The sequence below is a fragment of the Homo sapiens genome, chromosome 10, assembly GCF_000001405.40.
Source record: "Homo sapiens chromosome 10, GRCh38.p14 Primary Assembly".
Classification (NCBI taxonomy): domain Eukaryota; kingdom Metazoa; phylum Chordata; class Mammalia; order Primates; family Hominidae; genus Homo; species Homo sapiens.
In genome coordinates, this window is record NC_000010.11 from 97,970,555 (window position 1) to 97,996,444 (window position 25,890).

Sequence of the window (25,890 nt, forward strand, 5' to 3'; positions counted from 1 at the left end):
GCCAGCTCTCCCCAGCTAACCACAGGGCTCCCTCCCTCGGGTTGCCTCAAACTCCTCAGAGAAGCTTTCCCTGACACTCACTCCTGACACTTCTACCTCCCTTTCCCACTTTAACTTTTCTCCTTAGCACTTATGCCATCTGACATATTAATATCTTTTGTAACATCTTTCTCCCTCTCTAGGAGGTAAACTCCATGAGGGCAGGGATTTTTGTCTGATGGTTTGCAGCAGTCTCTCCAATGCCTAGATAGTGCCTGACACAGACGGGCAGTGCTACAAGAATGTCAGTGATTGTTTGAATGAATCATTCATCTATAACAAGTGCCTATAGAGTAATAAGTAAAACACATCTTTAATAAGAAAATGATCAGAGTACATAAAGAGACAATTTACAAAGAGGAAACACACCCCAGCTAATGAAGCGTTTCTTTTAAAGTTTACCTTCATTAGGAATGATCAAAGAAGTGTGTGTTAAAACAATGACATGCTACATCGCTAGTATCAAAGTAACAAAGATAAACCAAATAATAATATCCAATGCTGACAAGCACACTTATACTCTGATAGAGGCAGTAAAAATTTGTAAAATGGTTTTGGAAAGCAATTTCACGATATATATTAAAAGTCTAACATATTTTTCATACCTTTTGATTGATGACTAGGAATCTATTCTAGAGAGCTCAAGATTCAGATAAAAGCTTATGCACCCCAATGGATGAATGCATAAACAAAATGTGGTATATCCACACAATGGAATATTATTCAGCCTTAAATAGGAAGGAAATTCTGACACATGCTACAGGGAATGAGCCTTGAGGACATTATGCTAAATGAAATAAGTCAGCCGCAGAAAGGCAAACATTGTATGATTCCACTTATAAGAAGTAGGTAGAGTAGTCAAATTCATAGAGACAGGAAGTTGAATGGTGGCTGCCAGGGGCCGGCGCGAGGAGAGAATGGGGAGTGAGTGTTTAATAGGTTCAAAGTTACAGTTTGGAAAGATGAAAAGAGATCTGTGGACAGATGGTGATGATGGTTGCACAACAACGTGGATGCACATAATGCCATTGAACTGTACTCTTAAAGATGGTTAAGAAAGGGAATTTTATGTTATGCATAGTTTACCACAATTTTGTTTTTTTAAAGCTACAAGATTGAACACAGAGCTGCAGCTAAGTTCACCAATGGTTTATTTATATACCTTGGAGAGGTGGGAAGTGTGATGCATGTTTTTCAAAGATACGTCTTATTACACCATATCAATGTTTGGCTTGAGGTGTACATTTATCTGTTTTGAGAGCCCCCAGCTACACTAAGGTTTCAGTAACCAGAGTGGCTAGTAACTCTGCCCTAAGAGGAAACGCAGGGGAGCTGGACATGGCGTGTCCAGCGTGCCTTTTACGGGATACTTCTTTTACCTGGAAGACAGCCAAATGCCTAGTTGTCTAAACTGAGACCAGGGTCCCTCGCCCGGGAAACTTGTTTCTACTGGCAGACATCCTTGTGGCTCTTGTCTGGCCTGACCATCACACTTACACTGGGAGCCTAACCATATGCCCAGAGAAAACCCAGCCTGGGGCAGCCCCTGGTTCTTCAGATGGAAGGTACAATGCACCACCAGAACAGAAAACAAGTTCAAAGACCTTTTACTTCCAGACCCTGAGCAAAGAGAGTACCATGAGTCAGGAGGGCAGTCCTCTGTTTCCAGGTCACAGGAGGCAGGAACAAAAAGAGTCAGACAGAGAGAGTGCACATCACAACTAGCAGTGTATGTTATAAGGGAACAGGGTGTGGGTCACTTCAAGTTCACAGGCAAATGCCTGAATGGTCCATTACAAGCAGCTACAGGAAAGCAGGGAGCCCGGTCTGCCAGGTGGGAGAGACACCTCTAAGTTCTCACGCCCTCTGGGTGTGGTGTAGGACTGGAAACTGGGCTCTGCCTCTGATACGAGAAAGTTAAACCTGTACTCGAAATGGATGCCAAGGCAACATAAAGTCATCAGAATCTACTACATTATCTCTGAATAAAATGTTGAAAACAAAAAAATAAAAAAGTTTATGCAGTGTTTTTCACTGAGATACTATATATAGTAGCAAAAAATAAATCAGTGTAGTATCTATTGATAGGGAAATGGTTGCATAAATTATAGAATATCCACATAATGAAATATTATGCAGCCATAAAAATTGTTTTTGTAAATGCTTTTATAACCTGGGGAATTATTGTGGCATAATACTGAGTCAAGAAGCAAGATACAAAATTTGAAATACGATGAGAACTCAAGTTCAAAAAACAACGTAGCCTTATTTCATCAATTCCAAGACATTGATGGAATTCCAAGGATTTTTTTTTTCACAATTTAACCTCTCTGAAATGGAATGTGTCTCACTCCCTCTGATAAGAAGCACTGTGTCAAGTGTAATTGTGCATTTGCAGAGGCACAGAAAGTAGTGAAGTGCTCCCAAACAATGGTGTCTTAGATGTAACGAAACAGTGTCTGGAAAGAAGACTAAAGGAAGGAATATGCCATAATGCCAACTAATTGTGTGTGTATATTTCTTTCTAATTTTCCATATTTTTAACACATTTCTATAATCAGCTTGCATTACTTTTAGAATCAGAAAAAAAAAGTAAGTTAAAAATATCTCATCCTGGCTGTTAATTGCCTGACAGGACAAAGCACAAACTCCCCAGCCACTGTGCCCTCTGAGGCCGGCTTCACTGTTCAGCCTTGTCTCCGTCCCACCCTAATTCACACACCAACAAATTACGCCTGGGCCTCCATGCCATCATCTCTGTGGAAATGCTCTTTTTCGTGCCTGAAATGCCCCCCACCCCGGCCCCCTTTTCTGCCTAGTGATTTCCTACTTATGTTTCAACAGCCCATCTCAAAACTGGACTCCTCTGTGGGGACTTCTTGTTTACTTCCTATCCCAAAAGGAGCAGAGCAGCCTCTGCATTTCCAAAGCACTTGTTGCCTGACCTCGAAAATCGAACTTCCTCCCCTTCCCCACTGAAACTTTTCTCCTAGAGCCCCACCACTACCAACCTGCTGATTTCTAATTCTAGGGAACGCTTCCCAGCCCTTATGTTCTCTGAGCTTTCTGAGGCATCTGATGGGCACCACTTCCTCCTTCCTGAACCCCTTTTGGCCTGCTGCTGCAGTGACAACTTTTCTAGAATATTCTCCTCCACCTAACTCCTTCCTTACCATTGTCACTGACCTTTCTTTTTAGACAGTCACTGAAATGCCTTTTTTCTTTGGTCCCATGGTTCTTACTTTGAAGTCAGGGGTGTGTGGATAGGCCCTAGGGGTTCATGAACCTCCCAAAACTGCAGAATTCTGTGATTATAATAGTGTGCACACAGCCTGGGGAGACAGCCATCGCATTCTTTGTCTCATAAAAGATCCCATACCAAAAAAAAAAAAAAAAAAGGTTAAAAATGAAAATGACTGCCCTACACATTCTCCGGTGACCTCATCTACTTTTGATTTTAAGATAAAATACCACTTATATTTTTATCTCCCCTCAAAGAACTTCTAAAGGATGGGCGCTGCATGCTGTGTTGTGTGCAGGAGATATTTTTGCATGGGGAGGAGGCGTTTTCTCTTAAGTCACAACTCAGCCTGTTCTGCCTACACACATTAGGAGGAAGAGAAGACGGGTGGGAGACGCCCAGGAAGCGCCTGTCGGTGTGTAGTAGGGAGGACTGGGTACAGCGAAGCTGCCATGAAACCAGCAGGCTCCCCCCCTGCTGCGTAACAGGCGGACTCACTTTGTTGTACATTTTGTCTCATCTCAACACCGAAGTCTGAGGTTCACGTGCACTCAGGCACCTCCGGTTACCGCTCAAGCAGCAAGGTCACCTGCTTACAAGTTAGGAAAAAATCAGAGACAACACCGCGTAGAGCGTCTGAATAGAATTGTGTATCCAGGACTGGCAAGTCAGCCTCTTTCGACACTTCCCAATATCCTCAAAAATAAAGAAAAAATATTAATCTAGAGAAGGAGAAGTCGCTTTGGTGGAAATTGTTTTCTCCTCCGACTCTCCAGGGCCGTTTAACTCCTTGAAGATATCAAACGGATTTCATCTCTGCTCCCCGGGTCCCCTCCGCTTCCCCTCTGCCCCTCCGCTCGGGGTCACCCCTGCCTCTGCCGGGAGCCCGGAGAAGCTGGACTCAGGGAGCCAGGACAGGCTCGGATCCTAAGGCCAGCATTTATGCTCCCTGTTCAGAGATAGGAAAAAAGACCCCTTTCTTCTTCTTGATATATTTAGTAACGACCTTAAAGAGTCTGCGAGGCTGAATGAATTGGTGCATCTCGCTGCATTGGAAGCAGCTGCCTCGGCGCAGACAGGAGGAGGGAGAGACGGAGGGGAAGGGGAGGCGGGCAGAGGGAGACGCTGGGGAGAAGGGAGCGGGCAGTGGGGGAGGAGGAGACCGGAGAACGTGGAGCCCGCGGGAGGAGGCCGGAGCGCGGGCAGGGACTGGCGCGGGATCGATTCCCGGGTGGCGGTGGAGGGCCGGCCCGGGAGGAGCGGCGGAGGGGCCGGAGCCTACAGTTAAATCTGGCTAAACGGCAGCATTTAAGGGCCCTGCGAAGGAATCCAATTTGCGCACAAGGATCGTCTACAAATTTATATGTCGGCATTTAACACAAAATGCTCTTGGCTCAATCCCAGGTCGCAGAGGGACCCGGGGCCCGGCTGACTGATGCGGCTGTCCTCAGCCCCCTCACGGAGCACGGGTGCTGCGGGAGGCGCCAGGGCCGGTTCCTGACCCGCCTCCTGGCTGGAGGGTTCAAAAGACTTCAGACCTCCGGGGCCCTGTGCACAGAGATGCTGGCTGCATGGGGCGTGGAGGGGCGGGATGGGGAGCCGGCAGACCTCGCTTTCTTCTTCTTCTTCAGGGAAGAAGCAGCTGGAAGACTCAACATCTCTTGGCATCCAAGAGCAGAAAGAGGATTACCCTGTCGGCATTTTGGCCCAGTCGGAATGGAGTCACCTTTTCCTAAAGGACGTGGGGCACCATTTCTGTTACAACTGGCAGCCAGTCTTCTGCATAGTTCTAAGATGGACTCTCCCTGTGAATGACAAAAAGGCGCCCCTTCCTCCAAGCCTGCACAGCCTCACACGGGGGTAGGGCTGGGGGAGACGAGGGAAGACTGGGCTTCCAGCCCCTCACTCCTATACAGAGGCCCTGTCTAAATGCTCCTCCGCCCTCTGTGCCAAGAGCCTCTCCACCTGCCAGGGAAGCTACGCACACTCGGTGAGCGTGCTCCTGGGCCCCCAATGAGGAGCTAGCTCCCGGCTGCCCCTTGAGGTCATGAAGCCTTGGAAGAAAGAGGAACCATCTACCTGGTGTGTGGCCCGTTCCCCGAACCACATCTTACATCTTCGGGCCCCTATAGAGACCACTGACGTGGAGCCCCCAAACCCAGAGGAAGAGAGACAGCTTAGCTGCCTCTGAGGACCAGAAAGACACTCCAGGGACAGGGAGGTGCGTGCCTGGAGAGCCTGTTCCTGGCCATCTAGAGCTCGGAAAGGCAGGCCGCCGCAGCGTACTCTCATCCAGACCTTCACTGATTATAGGTGGCTCCAAAGCCCACAGCGAGGAATAAACAAACATCTTCAGTAGGTCCTCTGCGCTCATTCCACTTCTAACAAAGCTTAACAGAGTTGATCAGTGATTTTAAAGTGAGGATAATAAGAAAGAAAACCAAATATCTTGCATGTAGAAGCAAAAGTGTTTCATAATTAACAGCATGGGCACTGGCTCCAGGCTGCCTGGGTTCAAATCCCAGCTCCCCATAGGGTAGTATTTGGCCTGAGGCAGGTTTCCTGATCTTGCTAGGCTTCACCTGTCTCACCTATAAAGTGGAAATCACATGCATCAAACCTCATGGGGTTAAAGTGGGAATCACATGCATCAAACCTCATGGGGTTAAAGAGATGATCAGATGAGCTAACACATACAAAGCACTTGGAATGGTGTCGGATACATGGAAAGACCTTACTACATCGCAGCAATTTTTAGTTTTACTAAAAATGCTCATCCCTCAGTTGAAATTCTATCTATTCATGAGCAAACCGATCCATTGCCACTGCTTCCACAAAATTGTTCCAGACTTCTTCAGTTAGAATTTATCCTCTCCTACTCCACTCTGACCCAGCCTCTAATCCAGAATTTATCGCATTCTATTTTTCGTACTAGTTATCTGTGGATGTGTCTACAGGTTCAACTGTAATAGGTTACAATCTTCTTGATTACAGGACTGCACTTTATATATATTTGTTTCTCCTTGAGTGATTGGCAAAGTTCCTTTATACAGCTCAATAAGTGTTTGTTGAATTGAATAAAATGTAGACAAATATAGGCTAGCTCAGTCATTTTTGTTCATTTCGGCCCAGGGATCATCTTGTCCAAAGGTGTGAAGTATGTATTCCCTCAGAGCCTCTGAGTCTTTGCTGGACCTTCAAGATGTCACAGGAAAAGTGGAAGTATTTGCTAAGCATTTCTATGCAGTTGGTATTCATGTGCAATTTACTGCCAAATTAGTATGGGGCTTGCCTGGAATTTATGGATAAGTTCTGAACAGCTGGACCAGGTGGGCCCCTGACAGATAAGAGGGCCCAGGGTAATTGATAAAGGGGCCTCCACTCAGGCATCTTTTGTGACAGGTTCTGTAAGTCCTTTGGCAAGCTGCTCATCATGACAGGAGCTGAATTGTGATGTCTGGAATACTATGGCCGGGGAGGAGAGCGGCAGCTCCAGGAACACTGTCTGGCACGTGAGCAAGAAAGGAGGAAGGCTCAGGAGCTATAATTGCATCTCAGCGGGTTCTTTTTAGGACCAGCTCTGCTCACCCAATGGGGCAGGACACTGTGAAAGGTCCCCCAAATCAAGTCTTGTCAGTTTTTCCCCTCTCTGGTAACAGTGGCTACTGCAATGATGTTCCTGCTGTTAAAAAGAAAGCCAGCTGTTTACAGTCTATGCTGATTTTTTTTTCTGGGATAATCATAATAGCAACTCACCAGGGTACCAACTCAAATTTGAGACTGGGAGAACCCTGGGGAGGGACGTCAGCTCTGAGACCCAGAGAGGAACAAGATCTGGTTAGCAAGGAATTATACGCCATTCTTGGAAACATAACTGAGAAATGTTGGCTTTATGGAGTTGGTTTTTGCTATCAAAACTGAAACTTGAAATAACTCAACAAGTTCCCTATTGGAATTGATGAGTACCTCACGAGTGTAAATCAGAGTGGCAGGGAACCAATATGCTGTGATCATCAGTATGTACGGCCTGAGCTGAGGCTGTGCCTAAGACAAAGCAGGGATTCACACCAGCCTGGACTCCAGCCTGCTGCTGTTCCTGATGGGGAGGGGAGGCCTTTACCACCTCTTCCTGAGGTTTTATATCAGTATCTGAAAGAACTTCAGCCTCTGATCCTGGACTGCTGGGTGGAGTGCCAGAAGGTCAACTCCAACACAGTCCACCTGATCAAATCACAGAAATAATCACCAGCCCCTCACCCCCTAATTCTGACCAAATGCCCTAGTTGGCACCCATGATGACCTAAGACTTTGCTACGCAAAGTGTGGCCCATGGGCCAGCAGGAGTGACATCACCTGGGAGGTTGTCACCAATTCAGTATCTCAGGCTCCACTCCTAGACCTAGCCAATGAGAATCTGCATTTTTAACAAGGTCTCCGGTGACTTGTGTACACAGGAGTGCTTCAGAAGCACTGCTTTGAGCTCCATTTTTTACCAGCTCTGTCACCTTGGTAGCGTTCCTTTACCCCCTCTCCACCTCAGTTTTTTTCATACAAAGAATGGGAATAAATCCCCCTTTCCTCTTACATCTTACATAGTACATCATTACTCCAATGAGACGACAGATGTAAAGAACTTTCTAGTGCTAGGAAACGCAAGTGGCTGCTGTGCACATATCAACCCTTGCTTGCTCTCTGTTCTTCCCATGCACCAAGCTTGCTCCTGCCCTAGGAATTTCTGCACAAGCTGCTTGCTCCCCATGACACTGGAGTTGATGGCTTCCTCAAGGTTTGCAACATTCTTGACATAGGGACTCTTCTCCCAGGTCCTTGAGGGCTACCTCCTTTTGTCATTCAAGTCTCAGCTCTAATGTCCTCCCTTCAGAAGGGCCTTTCTGCTCCTCCCAGTCCAAAGCTATGGTCTCTGTCACTCACTCTGACTTGCTGTCTTCCTATTGCTTACCCCCTCTGAAATGATCTTGCTTATTTGTTGTCTGTTTGGTGGTTCCTTACAAGATTTCTGTGGAGGCAAGAATATGGGCTGTCTCGTCTACCATTCTTCTTCCAGCCACTAGAACACAGCCTGGCATTTAGCAGGCATCATATGCATCTTGCCCAGTGATTTGATGAATTCACACTGCTGTCTGGAATTGTGTGTGTGATGACCTGTGACTGAGTGAGGAGATGGGGGCAGGGCTGGTCCTCGACTCTGTGTGGATGTGTCTCAGTGGTGTCCCCTGAAAATGTTATGATCAGAGGGTCTAAGACCTAACTGAAAGCTCCCTCAGAGAAGTTCTTGCTCCAGAGCACTATTTTGCACTGGCCAGGAAGCAGGGCGGGGCTCATACTTATGCTTATGTGGCTTTTGAGTTCCGTGATAGTCAAACTGCTAAAGCGTGGTCCTTGAAGGGTGGTCTCCTGACCAGCAGTGTTAGCCCCACTCTGGACATGCTCAGTTAGACCCTGTGTGGATAGGGTCGTGCAATCTGTTCCAACAAACCCTCTGTGTGATTCCGATATACCCCACCCGAACCACCGTGGGGAAGGAACAAGAGAATCCTTGTCTTTGCCCAAGCTCTGGTCTAGGCAGCACCTTAAGGGCATCAGGCTTTGGTGTCCCATCAGGAGCTGGAGAGTGAATGGAAGCAAGGACTGATGTCACATGCTGCTGGTCATTTTGCTTTTCTTCTTTCGGCCCTTACATGAGTCCCCCTGATTGCTGGGCTGGAAGTGGGAGACAGTTGGTGGGCACTGAGTGATTCTTCTTTTACCAGTGTTTTTTTAGAGTAAGTCAGGCTGATTTAATTTTAATCAGCTGAGGCAGCAGAGCGGTGGTTCTCAGCCCTGGCTGCACTTTAGAATCACCTGGAGTGCTTTAAGATACTACTGAACCTTGGGTCCCACCCCAGTCCGATTAAATCCAAATGTCTCTGGGGTGGAGCTTGTCACCAGTATTTTTTTTTGAAGGGTCCCCAGATGGTTCTAACCTGCAGCAGGGGCTGAGAAGCACTGCAGTATTGTCAAACACCATCTCTCCCAAGCTTGCCTGATGATAAAAATAACGAGGGGCACTTGGTAAAACTACCAATTCCCAGGTTCTTCCCCAGATCGCTCAGTCAGAGAAGCTCCAAGGGCCTGGGGGCTGTCTCTTCAACAAACGCCCGGGGCCACTCTTTTAACCAAGCTTGGGACACACTGGTCCAATGGCCTGTGTAAGCTCTGGGACTGAATTCTAGCTCTGCAGTTTAAAGCAACCCCAGGAAAGTTTCTTAAATCTTTGTTTGCTCATTCATAAAATGGAGAAAACAGTAGTATCAATTCCAAAGGATTGCTAAGGATAAATTAGAAGATTCATGTAAAGTGCTCAGGGCAATGCCAGGCACACAGTCGGTGCTCAATGACTGTTACTTGGCACACCCACCCTCATATAAGGTAGGTTCTGAGAAGCTGTTTTTAACAATGCACTTGCTTTTATTTTAGTTTTGGGCAGATTTTGGACCTGCCCTTGTACATGGGCAAAGTTTGGACATGGTCCATTTAAATCAGGGAGATGTCTACAGTTTGCTTCTAAGCCTCCAAAACCTCTAATACTATATTATACACTCCAAGAGTCCCATACCTGCTAACTGTAGGGTGGCTTTTAATCCACCATCAGTAGTGGCTGTGAGGAAGTCCTGGGATCCACTTCCACAAAACGTTACACTTGGGTGCTTGGGACTAATGAGGTGATAGTGTCACAGGAGCAAACCAGGCTGAAGTTGAAGACATTCGATCATGTAGTCCAACCTCCTCATGCCACAGCTCAGAGGTAGAGGAAGAAGGCTTTTAATTTCCATCACACTGACATGAACTTAGACACGGAGGCACCTATGCACCAGAGCAGAGGCTCAGAGAAGTCTGGCACAAATAAGAGATGGAAAAATGACCCCACGGAGGTGTCTAGTATTCCCCCAATATTTAAAAACATAGATTTAAGTGCCACACACATGCACAGAGTTGTCACTGGCTCCCTTGCTATTCTTGGATGGAGAGCGGCTGAATAAGAATGAATCTGTTGCTGAGCTCTGGAAAGCGCATTTCAGAAACCTTCTCAGTTAAGACAATTATTGAGGAACATGTTTCCAATTCCACCCTGCAATATCAGACAGAAGAATCTGCAGAATCCCTGTGATTCTTGACAAGGTGCAGGAAATCATCAAACAGCTGAAAAAATAAGGCACCTGGAGCCAGTGGAATTTCTGCTAAAATTTTCCCAATTAGGTGAAGAGAAACACATAATTGTTCCCCTTGTTCTCATCCTGAAGATCTGAAATGCTGAAAAAAATTCTTGTGTGACCCTATGGATCCTATAATTATGATCATTAAAAGTCTTTCCTGATTATAAAAAAAAGTGTGCAGATTTTACAAAAATTAGAAACAAACAGAAAGACGTAAGGAAGAAAATAAAATTAACCTCTAAACCATCCACCTAGGATAGCGTTTAATACTTCAGTGTATTTCCTTCTCATCCCTTTCCTGTGAATATTTAAATGTTTTGCAAAGTTGGGATTCTGCTGTATCAAGTTTTATATTATGCTTCTTTCCCTTAGTTATGATATCATAAATATTTCTCCATGTCCTTAAATATTATTTGAAAAGAATTCTTAATGACCACATAATATCTCATCACATTGATGTTCCATAATTTACTTAACCATTTTGTTATTAACAGATATTAAAGTTGCTTCTGGTTTTTTTGCTCTTATAAATATGCACAACAAATAGCCTTGCACATAATTTTCTGACCTTATATTTCTGATTATTTTGCTAGGACAAAGTTATAGAAGTAGAATTACAGAGTCAAAAGGGCTGTGCATTTTTTAGGCTCTTTGTACCTTTTGCAAATTTCTTCCCAAATTTTTGAACTCCCACTAATAGTTTATGAAAATGTCCATCTCATCACATCTTTGTCAATATTGAGTAGTATAATCTACCTAACTTTTGCCAGTTTTGTTAATAAAAACAAGAGTCTGATTTTATGCCACATCTTGAAAATTCTTAGTTGAAGTCATGTATTGTTTTCATGTCTATTGGCCATCTGCATCTCTTCTTTTGTGAATTACTGGTTATGATTATTTTAAGAATTCATATACAAAGTGAAACTGCACCTACCACATTACAGGAAATCCCTGTACATGAGCTGTCCCTTCCAGCATCTCACTGTGGCTTTAAGTCATGTACACTTAGCCTCATAAATGGCTACTTTCACCTCTTGCCAATGGCAAGAAAAATTCAGAAACCATAATCCTATTCTTTCATACCTTATCTGATTTCATAAAAGCTTCTGACTCACTCAAATGATAGCTAGTGTTAGAAGATGCTCATCAATACAAATGTCCACCAAAATCTGTCAAGATAGAGTTATTTTCTCTATGATGCGGTCTAGGCAGGAATCTTTGATAATACGAACACTTTCTGACCCTTCAAGGTCAACACAAAGTCAAACAAGGTTGGGTTTCAGTCTAAAACTCCTTGACATTTCTTTTTCTGCGGAAAGTTATGTCCCTAACCATCTTCCAGCATGAAGTTAAATCAGTCAGTGGACAGTAAATCTCTGCTGACTCTGAGGGAGAAGTAAAACCCACTCTGATCTAATCAAATCTAATCATCAAGCTCAAAAATGCTGCTGCTGCTGCTTTAATTTCAGTAACAGATCTTCACACAACTGTCAACATCATTACCAAAACACATCAGAAAATTGGATGAAAGCGCAACACGTAGACAATCATAATCCCCATCATCAATCTCTAGCGGTCCCCAGTTGACAATTCAGATTAGGGGGTGAGCCTCTAGGGGACACACTTCGCAAATCAACTTCACAAAAGAGTAATATTAACCCCAGAAGCGCCGCAATTGTGTAAATTCAGGTACTGGCCAACTGAAAAATAGGAATTGAAGGAGCATCACATTTGAACAAAGTTTGTGGTCTAGCCTGTTATGGAGGACCTGACACAGACCACTAAGAATTGAAGAAAGTGGGAAAGTTGTTGCCTATGGAAAGATTTTCAAAAACACAGAGTAAATTAACAAACAGCTTTTTAATTTTTTTAAACAAACAACTTTTGACGAGCAAAAGCCAACAGCATTTAGCGATGGTCAGTTGCTAGCAATTCTGCTGGGTAAACCATGTGAACCTTCAATTCTAGACTCTCAAGATGACTCTGATATGCTAACGTGGTGACTGAGTGTGCTCAGGAGAATGGCAAAACAATATTTTAGAGAATAAGCACCAAACAAGTATGAAACATGCCAAAGGGCAATGGTGATGCCCACTACAGGGAGGAAGTCTACCTTTGGAGAAAGCCCACCAGTAGACTCTCCTCAGTTACCAGGGAAGCCACAGAGAGAGTTATGGAATGCCCTGGAATGCCCTTAGAAGTCATCCCACTCACCCATAAATACTTAGTGAGCACCTACACTGTGCTTACATTCAAGAAGACAGGTTTAGAGAGGTTAAATAATCTGTCCAAGGTCAGACAGACAGTTAAAGCCAAGACATCTACTGAAAAACTAGCATTTCAATTTTTTATGACAAGAGATAGAAAAAGAATGTTTGACAGAAATGAGTTACAGAACAAATAAATAATCCAAGACTGTCTTAGAGCCTGCCAAAAGTAGAGATTCTCCTCTCCCTCCCCTCATTGGGTTGTGCTCTTTTGATCACAAAGAGATAGAAATTTCAAGACACCAAGGGACAGAAATCAATTCTGAGAGCTTCATTCTTCCTTTGTTTCTCTATCAAAAGACACATCAAGAACTACCACATTTCTTCTTCCTTGTGTCTGAAAGTAGAATTCTTCTACTGTTGAAATGATCCAGGACCCTAGGCCTGGCAATGGCATAGTGGTAGAAGACAGAAGATTCATCTATTCCTCTGGCCTATGTGTGTGGGTGTGGCCGGGTGACCATATCAAGATGCGGGTGAAGTAGGGTGTGTTCCACCCACTCTCTTGTTTCCATCTGGGGCCTGCAGTGTCATCCAAAAATACGTATGCATATAACACACAGCATACACACATTTTTTTATTTTGGGAAACCTAATGGCAAATATTTTTCTAATCTAAAAGAAAGTTAAGAAGCAAGGAAACATGATGCCTATGCAAGGGGCTTTAACCAGAGGTTTGCCAATGGATGTTACATGTTCTCTTATTTTAGATTTCAGCCCATCCTTGGGCAAAGGACACACATCTTGCTTAAGAGGAAGAGACAACAGCCACTGCTTGTTAAACCTCATCTGCTTCCCATGTGAAGGCGAAAATCCCTACATGGCTATGTCTGAGGGGTGGGGCAGGGTCTCAGACTGCATGTAGAGAATTTTCCAAAGGCTCTTAAAACACTCTAGCTCTCAGGCTTGGAAACGTGTCTCCAGCATGGAGTGTGACTTCTAGATAATGAGATGGGCTATTTAATAAATATATTGGAATCCATCCATCCAAATGAGTGTCCCTCCCCCATCTGAGCAGTCATCAGAGATGCCAGATATTTATCCCAAGGTTGCTGCCATTGTTCCAGACACTTTGGGGCCTCTCTTGAGAATTTTCTGCAAATCCATGCCACATTATTTGGAATAAGCACAATGGTGGCAGAGCCCCATCCTGCAGAGCTGAATTTTATTTTTGGAAACAGTCAAGAAGCTTTTTGGCATTTGTAGCCAAGCTCGGTGAATAACCAGCTGATTGAGCTGGTAATGTTGTTTTGGGTCCAAATTGAAGCATGGTTACAGGGTCTGGTGTTCTTGCATGACGTGGAAACAAGGCTCCCAAGGTCATCTCAAATGCAAAACTCCTGCACTCTTTGAGGGTTGGCAGCACCACTGAACCAGGTACATGACCTTCCAGACCCCTCTGTAAAGACAACTTGTTTGGGCACGTGATGCTCAGTGGGATTCTTTGATTGTAAGCAACAGAAGCTGAGTCTGTCTGACTTACGTGAAAAGGAAATTGACTGGCAGGGCTATGGGGGAGCTCACTAGTTCAAAGGGAAGGCCGAAGGACCAGGTTAGGAAAAGGCAGCTCAAGAAGGAGCCAGAACCTTCTGACAGCCTAGCTCTGGTGCTGCAGTGAAAATAACTAAATTTCAAACAATTCTTCAATCCTTGCATTGCTCTGCCCAAAAATGAAAGACTCAGAGGAGACTGTAATTGGGTGCATGTCAGACTTGTGCCCAACTCGTGGCTCCACCCCTTGGCCAGAACTTCCAGGGATTGTTTCGGCTTGTGTAGAGTAAAGGGCAGTATTCCTTGATTACCATTTTTCTGAAACTGCCCACAAAAGGGGAGAAGCAATTACCTACTAGTAAAGAAAGGAAGAGAGAATAGATGCTAGGCACCAAAAAATGACAAATTTGAACCATAGCTAAGCCCTGTTATTCTTCTTCCTACTACTCTATAATATTATGTATAAGAATTTTTGCTCTATTTGTCAACATTTTTCTCACGTTGTAAATTACATTGGCCTCATTAGCCATCACCAGTTCCATGAGCTGATGGAATCTTTCTTCTTTATCTCATAGCTCCTAAAAAATACACCAGTCTATGGGCTGCTCCATCTTCTCCAGATGGAACTAGACCCTGCTCCTTTCCCTCAGAGCACTCATGAAGCCAGCAGCCAGCTTCGTTCTTCTCCTTGTCCTAATGAAGAGAGCAGGTGCTCTTCCTGCTTGCGGTATGCCTGCTACAGCCACCTCTGGCAGTCACATGGAGGCCAACTGTGCATCTGTCACTGTGGATGAGCCGGGGCATGCATGAGAACAGCCTTTGGTCATCCCAGAGGTGCACTTGCCTCTGCAAAGTGCCGAGGCCTCCTGTGTAGTCCAATTGTGCTTGCTCCCAAGAAAACCAGCCACAGCCTATGCAGAGAAGAATCACCCTTCAACCCCTGCACACAGAGGGAAAACCACGTGCATGCATCTGGACCATTATTAACATGTAAGCCAGGTCCTGAGACAGTAGCTGGCCCACCCATCCCAGCCTGTCCTGCACTGAAATAAGAACTCACTTTGTGAACTGCCAAGAGCTCTGGGGATCCCATTTGACCTCAGTGTCCCTGGCCAGCAAGGGACAGAAGGCCACAACCTCCCTATTGAGGATCTTTGAGAAGTTATTCCAAGCCAGAGCACCAATGCGGACCACAATAGCTGCAACAGCCTCTAAAATGCTGTTTATGTAGGTTCTGAGAGCGATCAAAGCTGCAATGTGTGGGAAAAGGGCTGGGCTCTGGGAAGGAGGAAGGGTAAAGGGAAGATGAGGCTGTGTCTCAGATGGCCCAGGACTGGGAGGGAGGCCGCTTGGGGATGAAATGCACCAAGGGCAGGGACTGGGCTCCCAAACAGACTGCCACCACACCGGGGAGAGGAGAGCTCTAGCATTTGAAGCCAAGACCTTTGCAAGCACTCTCAGGGGGTCCTCTAAGCCTCAATTCCCTAGCCTGTGAAACCAGGGGAGACCTTCCTTTAGTGGTTTGATCTATCAGAGACAACACATGCGAATCATCCAGCCTGGGGCCCATGGGCACTCAATGAAGGGCAGCCCTTCCTTCGTGAGATGTCAATGTTATCTAGAGCAGTACTTTCCAACGTTAAGATGTCATGGCACAGTGAACTTTCAAAAACAACCTTGAGAGCACTCATGCAGGATTGCGAGTGTTTTATTTTGCCAACTGAGGACAATACAAAAAACAAAGCAAAACCCCCATCATCTATGATATAACCATAAAAATACTTTTCAACACCAGAAAAACAAGAATTACAAAATCTTAGAATTGAAAAATCAGTCCTTTAAATAATTTTAGCGTTATGAAAATATTATTAGTACATCATTCTTATTTAGTTAATTTTGCTACAAGATGACAACAATTTCATTCAGACTGGCCCTGCCCTGCTTTGGGAACCAGGGGCAGGAAGGAAAAGTCTGGGCCTTGGTGCCAAACAGGCCACAACCACCTCCCGGCTCTGACCCTTACTAACTGGGTGACCTTCAGCGAGAGATCTGCCCTCCTGTTCTCACTTTTCTCTTTTATAAATCAGAAACAGTAGCATCTCCTTCGTAAATAAGATTATGTGTAAAGGGCAAAGCACAGAGTTTGGTACATTGCAGGTGCTCATTAAATACTAATGCCAGAGTGTCCTGAGGTTTGAGAGAGGGCTGGGTCACTTCCAGATTCTGAGACTCTCAGTATATTAAGAAATGAAGAAATGCCAAAACAGAGTTGCCAAAATCATTCATATCATTTAAAGATATCACAAGAAAAAATATCTGAAACACATGCACACACAAATACAATGGTTGTATATACAGCCTTATGAATCTCGCATTTGAGAGAGTAAGGTTGGAGCCAGTAGCCCCTTGGTCCCCAGAGACATGCCCTGGTTGGCTCCTTTATAAGCCATGGCTCTCATGGATGACACACTCTGAGACACTGACTTTACTCATCTGTATTCCTTTGTTCTTTTCCCGACTGGGGTTCATGTGGAATATTTCTCTAGGCCTCCCTTCCTTTAATTCATAATTCTGAGCATGAGATTTTCTTGGAAATCTAGCTGGTGTCTTCTTTGCATCACTGGATCTCAATAGGTTTCAAAAGGACTAAAATTGAGGGTTAGAAGGAAAGATAAATGGGTGCTGAAGTGGATGATTTAACCAGGGGATTCCAGGGCAACCAAGGAAGGGAAAGGGGTCTGTGCTGGAGAAGGCATGCCAACAGCAGGCTGCAAGATTTTCCCTGTGAGCGGCGTTTATGTGCACGAGTGTGCATCATCTACATGCACCTACTTTCCTACAGAAATTCAAATATCCTGTTTCTTTGTTTATTGCTGTCTCTCCCATTAGAATGTCAGCTCCATGACAGCAGGGACCATGTACCTCTTGGCCATCCCTGTGTCTCTAGCGCTGAATACACATAGGTGCTCAATAAATGTTTCCTGAATGAGTGACTATGTCATGATTATGTGTCTGCTCAGCACTCTTCCATCTTGGATCTAGGAACAGACCCCCTTTGCATTTGAAGATCAATCCTACCCCCTTTCCCAACCACACAATGTCCCTGAAACACAGGGATGGGCATATGGTCACCCAGAATTCTTTTCTTGTAATTGGAACTTTCTCTCTGGTGGTCAGGCTGGGAAGATATATGCCAGGATTGCCAGCAGTTTTGGTGCCAGACTTATGGAGAAAGATGCTCTGAAATAATTAAGTGGACAGGCCAAGGCACAGACATGGGGATGAGAAGCAGGGACACAGAGAGCGATCCTGGCCACATTTGGTCTCTGGCTCCTGTCTGTCCTGACAGCCCCTGCTGTCCCTTTGCTGCTTTCTCAAGGCTCAGTTAATCTGGTCTTAACTTTGAGTTCTGTGTGTGCCCCAGTATGCCTCCTCTAGATCCTCTCTTTTTTGGGGTGGGGAGGGGTGGGTAGCAAACAGTTTCTTCTATTGCAATCAAAAGAGTTCTGACTAATCCAGTTCATTAAAGATGAAGATTAACCAAAAAGTAGCACTCAGACATTTGCAGATGGGTAAGACTCTGAACGATCTCATGGGTAGACACAAGGTGGGACAGTAAGAAATTATGATGGTGGCTGGGTGTGGTGGCTCATGCCTGTAATCCCAGCACTTTGGGAGGCCGAGGCAGGCGGATCACTTGAGGTCAGAATTTTGAGACCATCCTGGCCAACATGGTGACTCCGTCTCTACTAAAAATATAAAAATTAGCCGGGTGTGGCAGCATGTGCCTGTAATCCCAACTACTCGGGAGGCTGAGGCAAGAGAATTGCTTGAACCCGGGAGGCGGAGGTTGCGGTGAGCCGAGATCACATCATTGCACTCCAGCCTGGGCAACAGAGCAAGACTCCGTCTCTAAAAAAAGCAAAAAAAGAAATTATGATGGCAGTACTGGCTAATATCTGAGTACTTTCCACATGTCAGACATAGGACCAAGCATTTTGTGTGCATTATTTTAACTATTGTGATGGTCAGTTTCATGTGTCAATTTGAGTAGGCCACAGGTGCCCAGATTAATCATTGTTTCTGGTGCTTCTGTGAAGGTATTTCCAGAGGAGATCAGCATTTGAATCTGTGGACTCAGTAAAGTAGATTGCCCTCTGCCATGTGAAGGAGCATCATGCAATCTGTTGAGGGCATGAGTAGAAAAACACGCAGAGGAAGGAGGAATTTGCCCCTCATCCCCTGCCTCACTGCAGAGCTGGGGCATCTCATCTCATCTTCTCCTGCCCTGGAACTGGGATTTACATCATTGGCTCCCCTGGTTCTCAGGCCTTCAGACTTAGACTGAATCACACTGCAGGCTTTTCTGAACCTTTTGCTTGCAGACGGCAGATCATGGGACTTCTCAGCCTCCATAATCACATGCCGATTCCTCATAATAAATAAATCAATCTCTCTCTCTCTCCCCCCACCCAACGCACACACAGAGTCATATGTAAACAACTGAGATACGTTCTGAGAGATGTGTTGTTAGGTGATTTTGTCTTTGTGCAAACATCATAGTGTGTACTTACACAAACCTAGTCTTACTTACACAAACTGCCTACTACATAAACTGCCTACTACACACCTAGGCTAGATGGTATAGCCTATTGATCCTAGGCTACAAACCTGCACAGCATGTTACTGTACTGAATACTGTAGGTAATTGTCACACAATGGTAAGTATCTGTGTATCTAAATATAGAAAAGGTACAATAAAGATACAATTTTATTATCTTGTGGGACCACCATTGTACATGTGGTTCACCTTTGGCCAAAATGTTACACGTTGCATGCCATAACTCCTATTAGTTCTTTTCTCTTATTGGAGAACTTTAATACCGCCACTACCATAGTGCTATGAAGTAGGCTATTAGCTATTATTGTCTCTACTTTATAGATGAGAAAACCAAAACTCAGAGAGGCTAGGTAACTCGTTCTAAGGTCCCACAGCTAGGAAGGGAAGGAGTTAGAGTTTAACCACAGATTTGTGTAACCACAGATTGCGTGACTCCATCATTTCTCTCCTACATCTTGTGTACAGTTCTTCTCTCTGTTCTTCTTTTCTCACTCTTCTGTTCTCTCATTCTTTCTCCATGTCTTGTCTGAAATCTCTCATTCCCTCTTCTTTCAGTGACCCTTCTCCGGCTCCTTTTAATCCCATTTTTATGACAGTACATAAGCATATATTTTAAGACTATGGTCTTGAACACTTTCAGGTGTGACGATACCTTTTAATGTTAAAGAATCTCCATATAATGGTAGCTGTACTAGCATCTATTGATAAAAAGCCCATGCACAGATGGATTCTCAGATGTCATGTAATAACTCTGTGACCTCTAGGTTGGCATTCCCTACTTTAAAATATATGGGAGAATCCAGATAACCATCCGTCTTACTCCTACCTGCTTGGCTTGTTACAATATAGAAAAGGCTTATAAATGCTACTATAGCGCTCATTTTTGCTCACCCTGTGCCTTAAGGCTACCAATTTCTTCTGAAATGTGGTCTTTTTGTCCTTCCTTTAATATGTTTAATTATTTAAGAAGGCATGAACTGTGACACTTACATTTTATATATCACCTCTTGATTATCCAGGGGCTGATTAATTCATGGATTGCCCAAGTCGAGTCCTTCTCCTTTCCAACCCCATTTTGTTTTATCATTCCATTTCCTATTAGCGTCTTTTAGCAAGCATGGACAGTGGGGATGAGAAATGATTCTGGTTACAAATTATGAATTCTGATAAAAGATTTGGTTGGAGGAAGTTGAAGTTATTTCCCAAAGTAAGAATTTCTTTAATCCATCAGGCACATTGACTCTCTTTCTGAGCTCTGTGAAGGCAGGAGTTGCTCTCATTCACCACTAACCTCCAGGGCTCAGCAAGGTGCCTTGCACATGGTAGCTTAATAAAAGAATGAGTAGAATGAACGAATAAGAGCTGATGAATATAATAGGGAAAATAAACTTTCTCCTAGGTGAGACATTGATTCATAGGAAACTAAGTAAAATACAAGATAACTTATTTTACGTTGCATGTCTGTAGACAACACCATATTTGACAATGTTTAAACGACTGCTTTAAAAATTAACAACAAAAGATATATAGGTCTAATTAAAAAATGAAAAATATGGCTGGGCATGATAGCTTATACCTGTAATCCCAGCACCTTGGGAGACTGAAGTGGGAAGATTGCTTGAGGCCAGGAGTTTGAGACCAATCTTGGCAACATACGAGAAACCATCTCTACAAAAAAAAAAAAAAAAAAAAAAAAAAAAGATTATCTCAGTGTTGTGGCATGCACTCCCAGCTCAGGAGGCTGAGGTGGAGGATTGCTTGAGCCCAGGAGTTTGAGGCCAGCAGCCTGGGTAACATAGTGATACTCTGTCTCTAGAAATAATTAAAAAACAAAAATTAGCCAGGTGTGGTGGCACACACCTGTAGTGTCAGCTACTTGGGAGGCTGAGGAGAAAGAATCACTTAAACCCAGGAGTCGGAGGTTGAAGTGAGCTGTGAATGCACCACTGCACTCCAGCCTGGGTGACAGAGGGGAACCCTGTCTTTTAAAAATAATAAATAAATAAATAAATAAATAAATAAGATAAAAAGAAAAAAGTTACATAGTGTCATTTTATCCCCCCGATAAAAAGAGGGAGAGACACATTTCTAAGACAAGGGTTGGTCCAGGCAAACTCCTCCTGTTATATTAGGTATTAAAGAAACATATTCATACTCAACACACTAACTATTGAGCACCTAGTATGTGTCAGGTGCTGTGCTAAGCAATTTACATGGCTTATCTCATTTGTCTTCACCACAATGGTAGGAAGTACTATTATTTGACAGGTATCAGCAAGTTACCAGTGTTCTCTGAAAATTTCTTTAGCTCTCCAGCGTTTTGAACCAAGAATGAACTTGTCTTCTTTTTACTTCCTGGTTTTTAAATTAAAGATTTATTTTCCTATGAAATGTTAGGTGTGTTTAAAAGATTGATTTAGATTTTAGATATACCCTTGGAAACTTTGAGATATCTGTTATTTTACTATCTCTTGCTTTTTGACATTAATACATTGTCTAGAAAGGAAACTTTTATAATGAGACTTACCATACTTTTCAAAGTCTTCCTAAGCAAAATGTTTTGCATGTGGGGATGCAGACAGGGAAGAAGGCCAGGCAGCATCTCTGAGCCTGTTCCATGGCTCTGGTGCTGTCCAGGAATCAGGTGCTGAAATGTTTTAACCAAGGCCTTCTCAGGCCAGCCGGATGGAGCAATAGCTGATGGGAGTTGGGGGAGTGCTGCCTCAGCTATAGCCTGGTGCCGCTGCTTCCCAGAATAGGGAAGCAACTTTAAAAGATCCTGGTGGAACTAGAATTACAGCCCACCTTATTTGGAGGGGGTTGAGGGAAATAACTAGCTATCTCCCTCCTACTCCTTCCATACTTTGCTTTAGCTTGGAAGGAAGGATATGGACAACAGGTTACTGATGGAAAAATATATGTTCAAAAAATAAGCCTAATTATGGAAAACCGTATGGAAGTTCCTCAAAAACTTAAAAATAGAACTACCATATGATCAAGCAATCCCACTACTGGGTATATATCCAAGGGAAATGAAATCAGTATGTTGAAGAGGTATCTGCACTCCCATGTTCATTGCAACATTATTCACAACAGCTCAGATATGGAATCAACCTAAGTGTCAATCAATGGATGAATGGATAAAGAAAATGTGATAACACATAATAAAGTATTATTTGGCCTTAAAGAAGAAGAAAATCCTGTCATATGTGACAACATGGGTGAACCTGGAAGACATTATGCTAAGTGAAATAAACCAGGCACAGAAAGACAAATACCACATAATCTTACCTACATATAGAATCTAAAAAAGTTGAATTTATAGAAGTGGAGAGTGGAATGATAGTTATCAGGGGCTAGGAGTGAGGAAGGGAGATATTGGTCAAAGGATACAAAAATTTCAGTTAGATGGGAAGAATGAGTTCAACAGATCTATTGTATAACATGGTGACTATAGTTAATAACAATGTATTGTATTCTCCAAAATCACTAAGAGAGTAGATTTTAAATATTCTTATCACAAAAAAGTGAGGTAATGCATATCTTAATTAGCTTGATTTAGCCATTTCACAGTGTATACATATTTTATAACATGATTTGTACAATAAATATATACAACTTTTATTTGCCAATTCAAACAAAAACCAGGCTGACATCAGTACAACTGGTTAGTGGTGCATTTTGAGAATTTCACTGCCTCTCCTGTCTTGGTGTTAGGAACCGAGAAGAACCAGGACTGGAGGCTCAATGATACTGTCAGTCCCTTGGGACTACTCAGCCAACAAAAAATTATTGCGGTTTAATGAAAGGGAAATTAGCATAAGGACCTTGGCTTTAATACTAAAAGATCAAACCCATAGAGCAGTTTTTCATCATAGAAAAGTTCCACAGAGGGTGAAAGCCTTATGACTACAACCTTATATGAAATGCAGTGTTTATAAGAGGCTAGAATATTCATTGGGGACATGAATCTGATGGGTGTGCTGAACATGGAATGAGTGTCTTCGCTGTAGCAAATATGACATTCTGCTCTGTTATTTCCATATATGCCTTATCTCTCTTATGACTAAGATAGCTTGAAGGAGGGGATCATATTCTTGTATCTTCCAAAGTGCTGAGCACACAACTATGCACACGGTAGGGTAGGCTTGTAGAATTTGCTTATTGAATTGATTGATGTTGCTCTCAAGGCGAAGGTCCTTAAATCAATCACTCTGAGTATAGCTAATGTTTATTATTTTCATTAATCCTCTTATCTAAAATCCTCCATCCACCCATAAGACCCTTGCCTATTTCATTTGAACACTATGTGATAGGCACTGTAGGTGCACGGATGAAAAAGATAAAGTTCCTGCCTTTAGAAGTCTGCAATCTAATGTGAGAGGAGAAATTTTAAAAAGAATTATTGATCAAAATGTGTATGTAGAGTGTTTACTCTTTTTTTTTGAGACAGAGTTTTGCTCTTGTCCGCCAGCCTGGAGTGCAATGGTGTCATCTTGGCTCACTGCAACCTCCACCTCCTGGGTTCAAGTGATTTTCCTGCCTCAGCCTCCCAAGTAGCTGAGATTACAGGCATGCACCACCATGCCTGGCTAATTTTTGTATTTTTAGTAGACATGGGGTTTCACCGTGCTGGCCAGGCTGGTCTTGAAGTCCTAACCTCAAGTGATCTGCACACCTAGACCTCCCAAATTGCTAGGATTACAGGCATGAGCCACCGCGCCTGGCCTAGAATGTTTACTATTTAATTAAATAACATTGGGATATATTTTTGGTTTGAGTTTTATTTTAAATCTGATTCAGATAGCAAAAACTCCTTCACAAACCTAGGTTAACATGGATCACAGATTGCCAACTGTTTTTATATATTCTTAAGAATCTTCCCAAAGCCTCTCCTTTGGGGCTAGGGATGGTTACGCTCTGGTTTGCAACACAGCACCAGATAGGGTGCTCGCTCTGGTCTACAAATGGGCTTCTCTTGTCTGATTTATAAGCCATAAGTTTTGGCATTAGATAAGGAAAGCAGCTGTAGAGAAAAGGAGGGAGAGGACATATTAGAGGCATATGCCAGGGTGTTCCCAGAACTGAAGGAGAGCTTCAGGGGACGCATAGATCTGTGGACCTCAGGGACAGGCCCTTGGGATTCTCTCCTCGTCTTCTCTCTGGATGTCATCGGCATTCTCTCAGGTTCCTCCATGAGATGGGGGAGAGAACAAGTGGTAGTTGTGATATACCTTTTCAACTCATGATTCAACAGCAAAGGGAGAACTTTCCTTCAAGATAGAAAATTTCAGATCAAGATACTGATTAGATACTGGACTAATCCCTAGTGGCCAAAGGGCTACTTTGATTGGCAGCCCCACAGGATCCTGTGATTGGAACAGTTCTCCAGAGGAGGAGTATTCTTCCCAGAAGGAATGAAGGTCCTGTGGAGGCCCAAGGAGCAGATCCGGCCACCTTATCCTGTGTGAGGAGCTCTGGAATGCATTGCTGCTTTCCAGGATAGCTCCCAAGCAGGGAGAATCCCCTTCCACTGCCCAATCATGGACAGCATACAGAATGACTGCAACAGCTGGGCACATCAAAGGATACTGTGTAGTTGTCCATGACCTCATATGGCTATAGGTATTTTATAAACAACATGGGAAGATGGCTGCTGAGGGGGAAGGAATCTTTTCTGATGTGCACAGTTCATGTTTCTTTGCTTGGCATAGCCAAACACCAGTGGATGGTATCATCTGTGCTGTGAACAGATTCTGATTTTGAACTCCATGCTCTTCTAGAGAGGAACAGTCCAAGGACCACAGTCTGGCCTGGCTTTTCTTGGTGCATGGGGCTTCCTGCACATACATGCTTCTCTCCCCCAACATACACACAAACACACACACACACCCCTCCTCATCTGTCTTATACCCAAGACTTCCATGCTGTAGAACTCTTTCTATTTTGCAAGAAGAGAGTTCGAGCATCTCTGAAAAGCTAAGGGGAAGGACCTCTTAAATCCTACTTCCTTTAGTTTCACGTACCCTCCAATGTCTTCTTGGTGATAGAAAGAACACAAGCTTTGGATTTCCTAAGTCTATTTTTCTGTTTCCAATGGTATGCAGACCTCTGAAGGACCCTACCACTACAGAACAAGTAGATCCCCAATGAACTATATTTTTAGTGTATTACTGGGTTCACAAACTTAAGGAAAATCTCCAAGAACCATCCCACCCCACAGAAAAGTGAGCTGAAATTAGACCTGGCAGCAATGAATGGTAAATACATGGAAATGAGGGACTCTGAGTACCATAAAGAGTATTACTAATCCTTGAACTGGTGGCAAGATAGGGTTACAGAACCCTACATTAAGCCGGGACACTTGGAGAGAGCTAGGGTATTCTCAGGTCAGTAGGACCCCTCGGCCCTAGAGGTGGATACAAATCCTCTCTGGTAAAAGCTATTTTCAGGCCAGGCACAGTGGCTCACATCTGTAATCCTAGGATTTTGGGGGGCTGAGGTGGGTGGATCACAAAGTCAAGAGATCAAGACCATCCTGGCTAACATGGTGAAACCCCGTCTCTACTAAACATACAAAAAATTAGCCAGGTGTTAGCCATATGTAGAAAGCTGAAACTGGATCCCTTCCTTACACCTTATACAAAAATTAATTCAAGATGGATTAAAGACTTAAACGTTAGACCTAAAACCATAAAAACCCTAGAAGAAAACCTAGGCATTACCATTCAGGACATAGGCATGGGCAAGGACTTCATGTCTAAAACACCAAAAGCAATGGCAACAGAAGCCAAAATTGACAAATGGGATCTAATTAAACTCAAGAGCTTCTGCACAGCAAAAGAAACTACCATCAGAGTGAACAGGCAACCTACAAAATGGGAGAAAATTTTCGCAACCTACTCATCTGACAAAGGGCTAATATCCAGAATCTACAATGAACTCAAACAAATTTACAAGAAAAAAACAAACAACCCCATCAAAAAGTGGGCAAAGGACGTGAACAGACACTTCTCA

General features: G+C 43.7%; 1 protein-coding gene across 2 annotated transcripts in view, besides 2 other annotated features; it reads right to left on the minus strand.

Annotated features, from left to right (window-relative positions):
• CRTAC1 (cartilage acidic protein 1) overlaps nt 1–25,890 on the minus strand; it is a 165,622-nt gene that overhangs the window by 105,555 nt on the left and 34,177 nt on the right. The gene's annotated exons all lie outside the window — the stretch shown is intronic.
• Nucleotides 4,007–4,609: an enhancer, noted in NCBI's record as "H3K4me1 hESC enhancer chr10:99734318-99734920 (GRCh37/hg19 assembly coordinates)". NCBI's record gives its function as "activates a minimal SCP1, AML or CMV promoter by ChIP-STARR-seq in naive H9 embryonic stem cells {active_cell/tissue: H9 hESC(naive)}" and the evidence as "EXISTENCE:reporter gene assay evidence [ECO:0000049][PMID:30033119]".
• Nucleotides 4,610–5,211: an enhancer, noted in NCBI's record as "H3K4me1 hESC enhancer chr10:99734921-99735522 (GRCh37/hg19 assembly coordinates)". NCBI's record gives its function as "activates a minimal SCP1, AML or CMV promoter by ChIP-STARR-seq in primed H9 embryonic stem cells {active_cell/tissue: H9 hESC(primed)}" and the evidence as "EXISTENCE:reporter gene assay evidence [ECO:0000049][PMID:30033119]".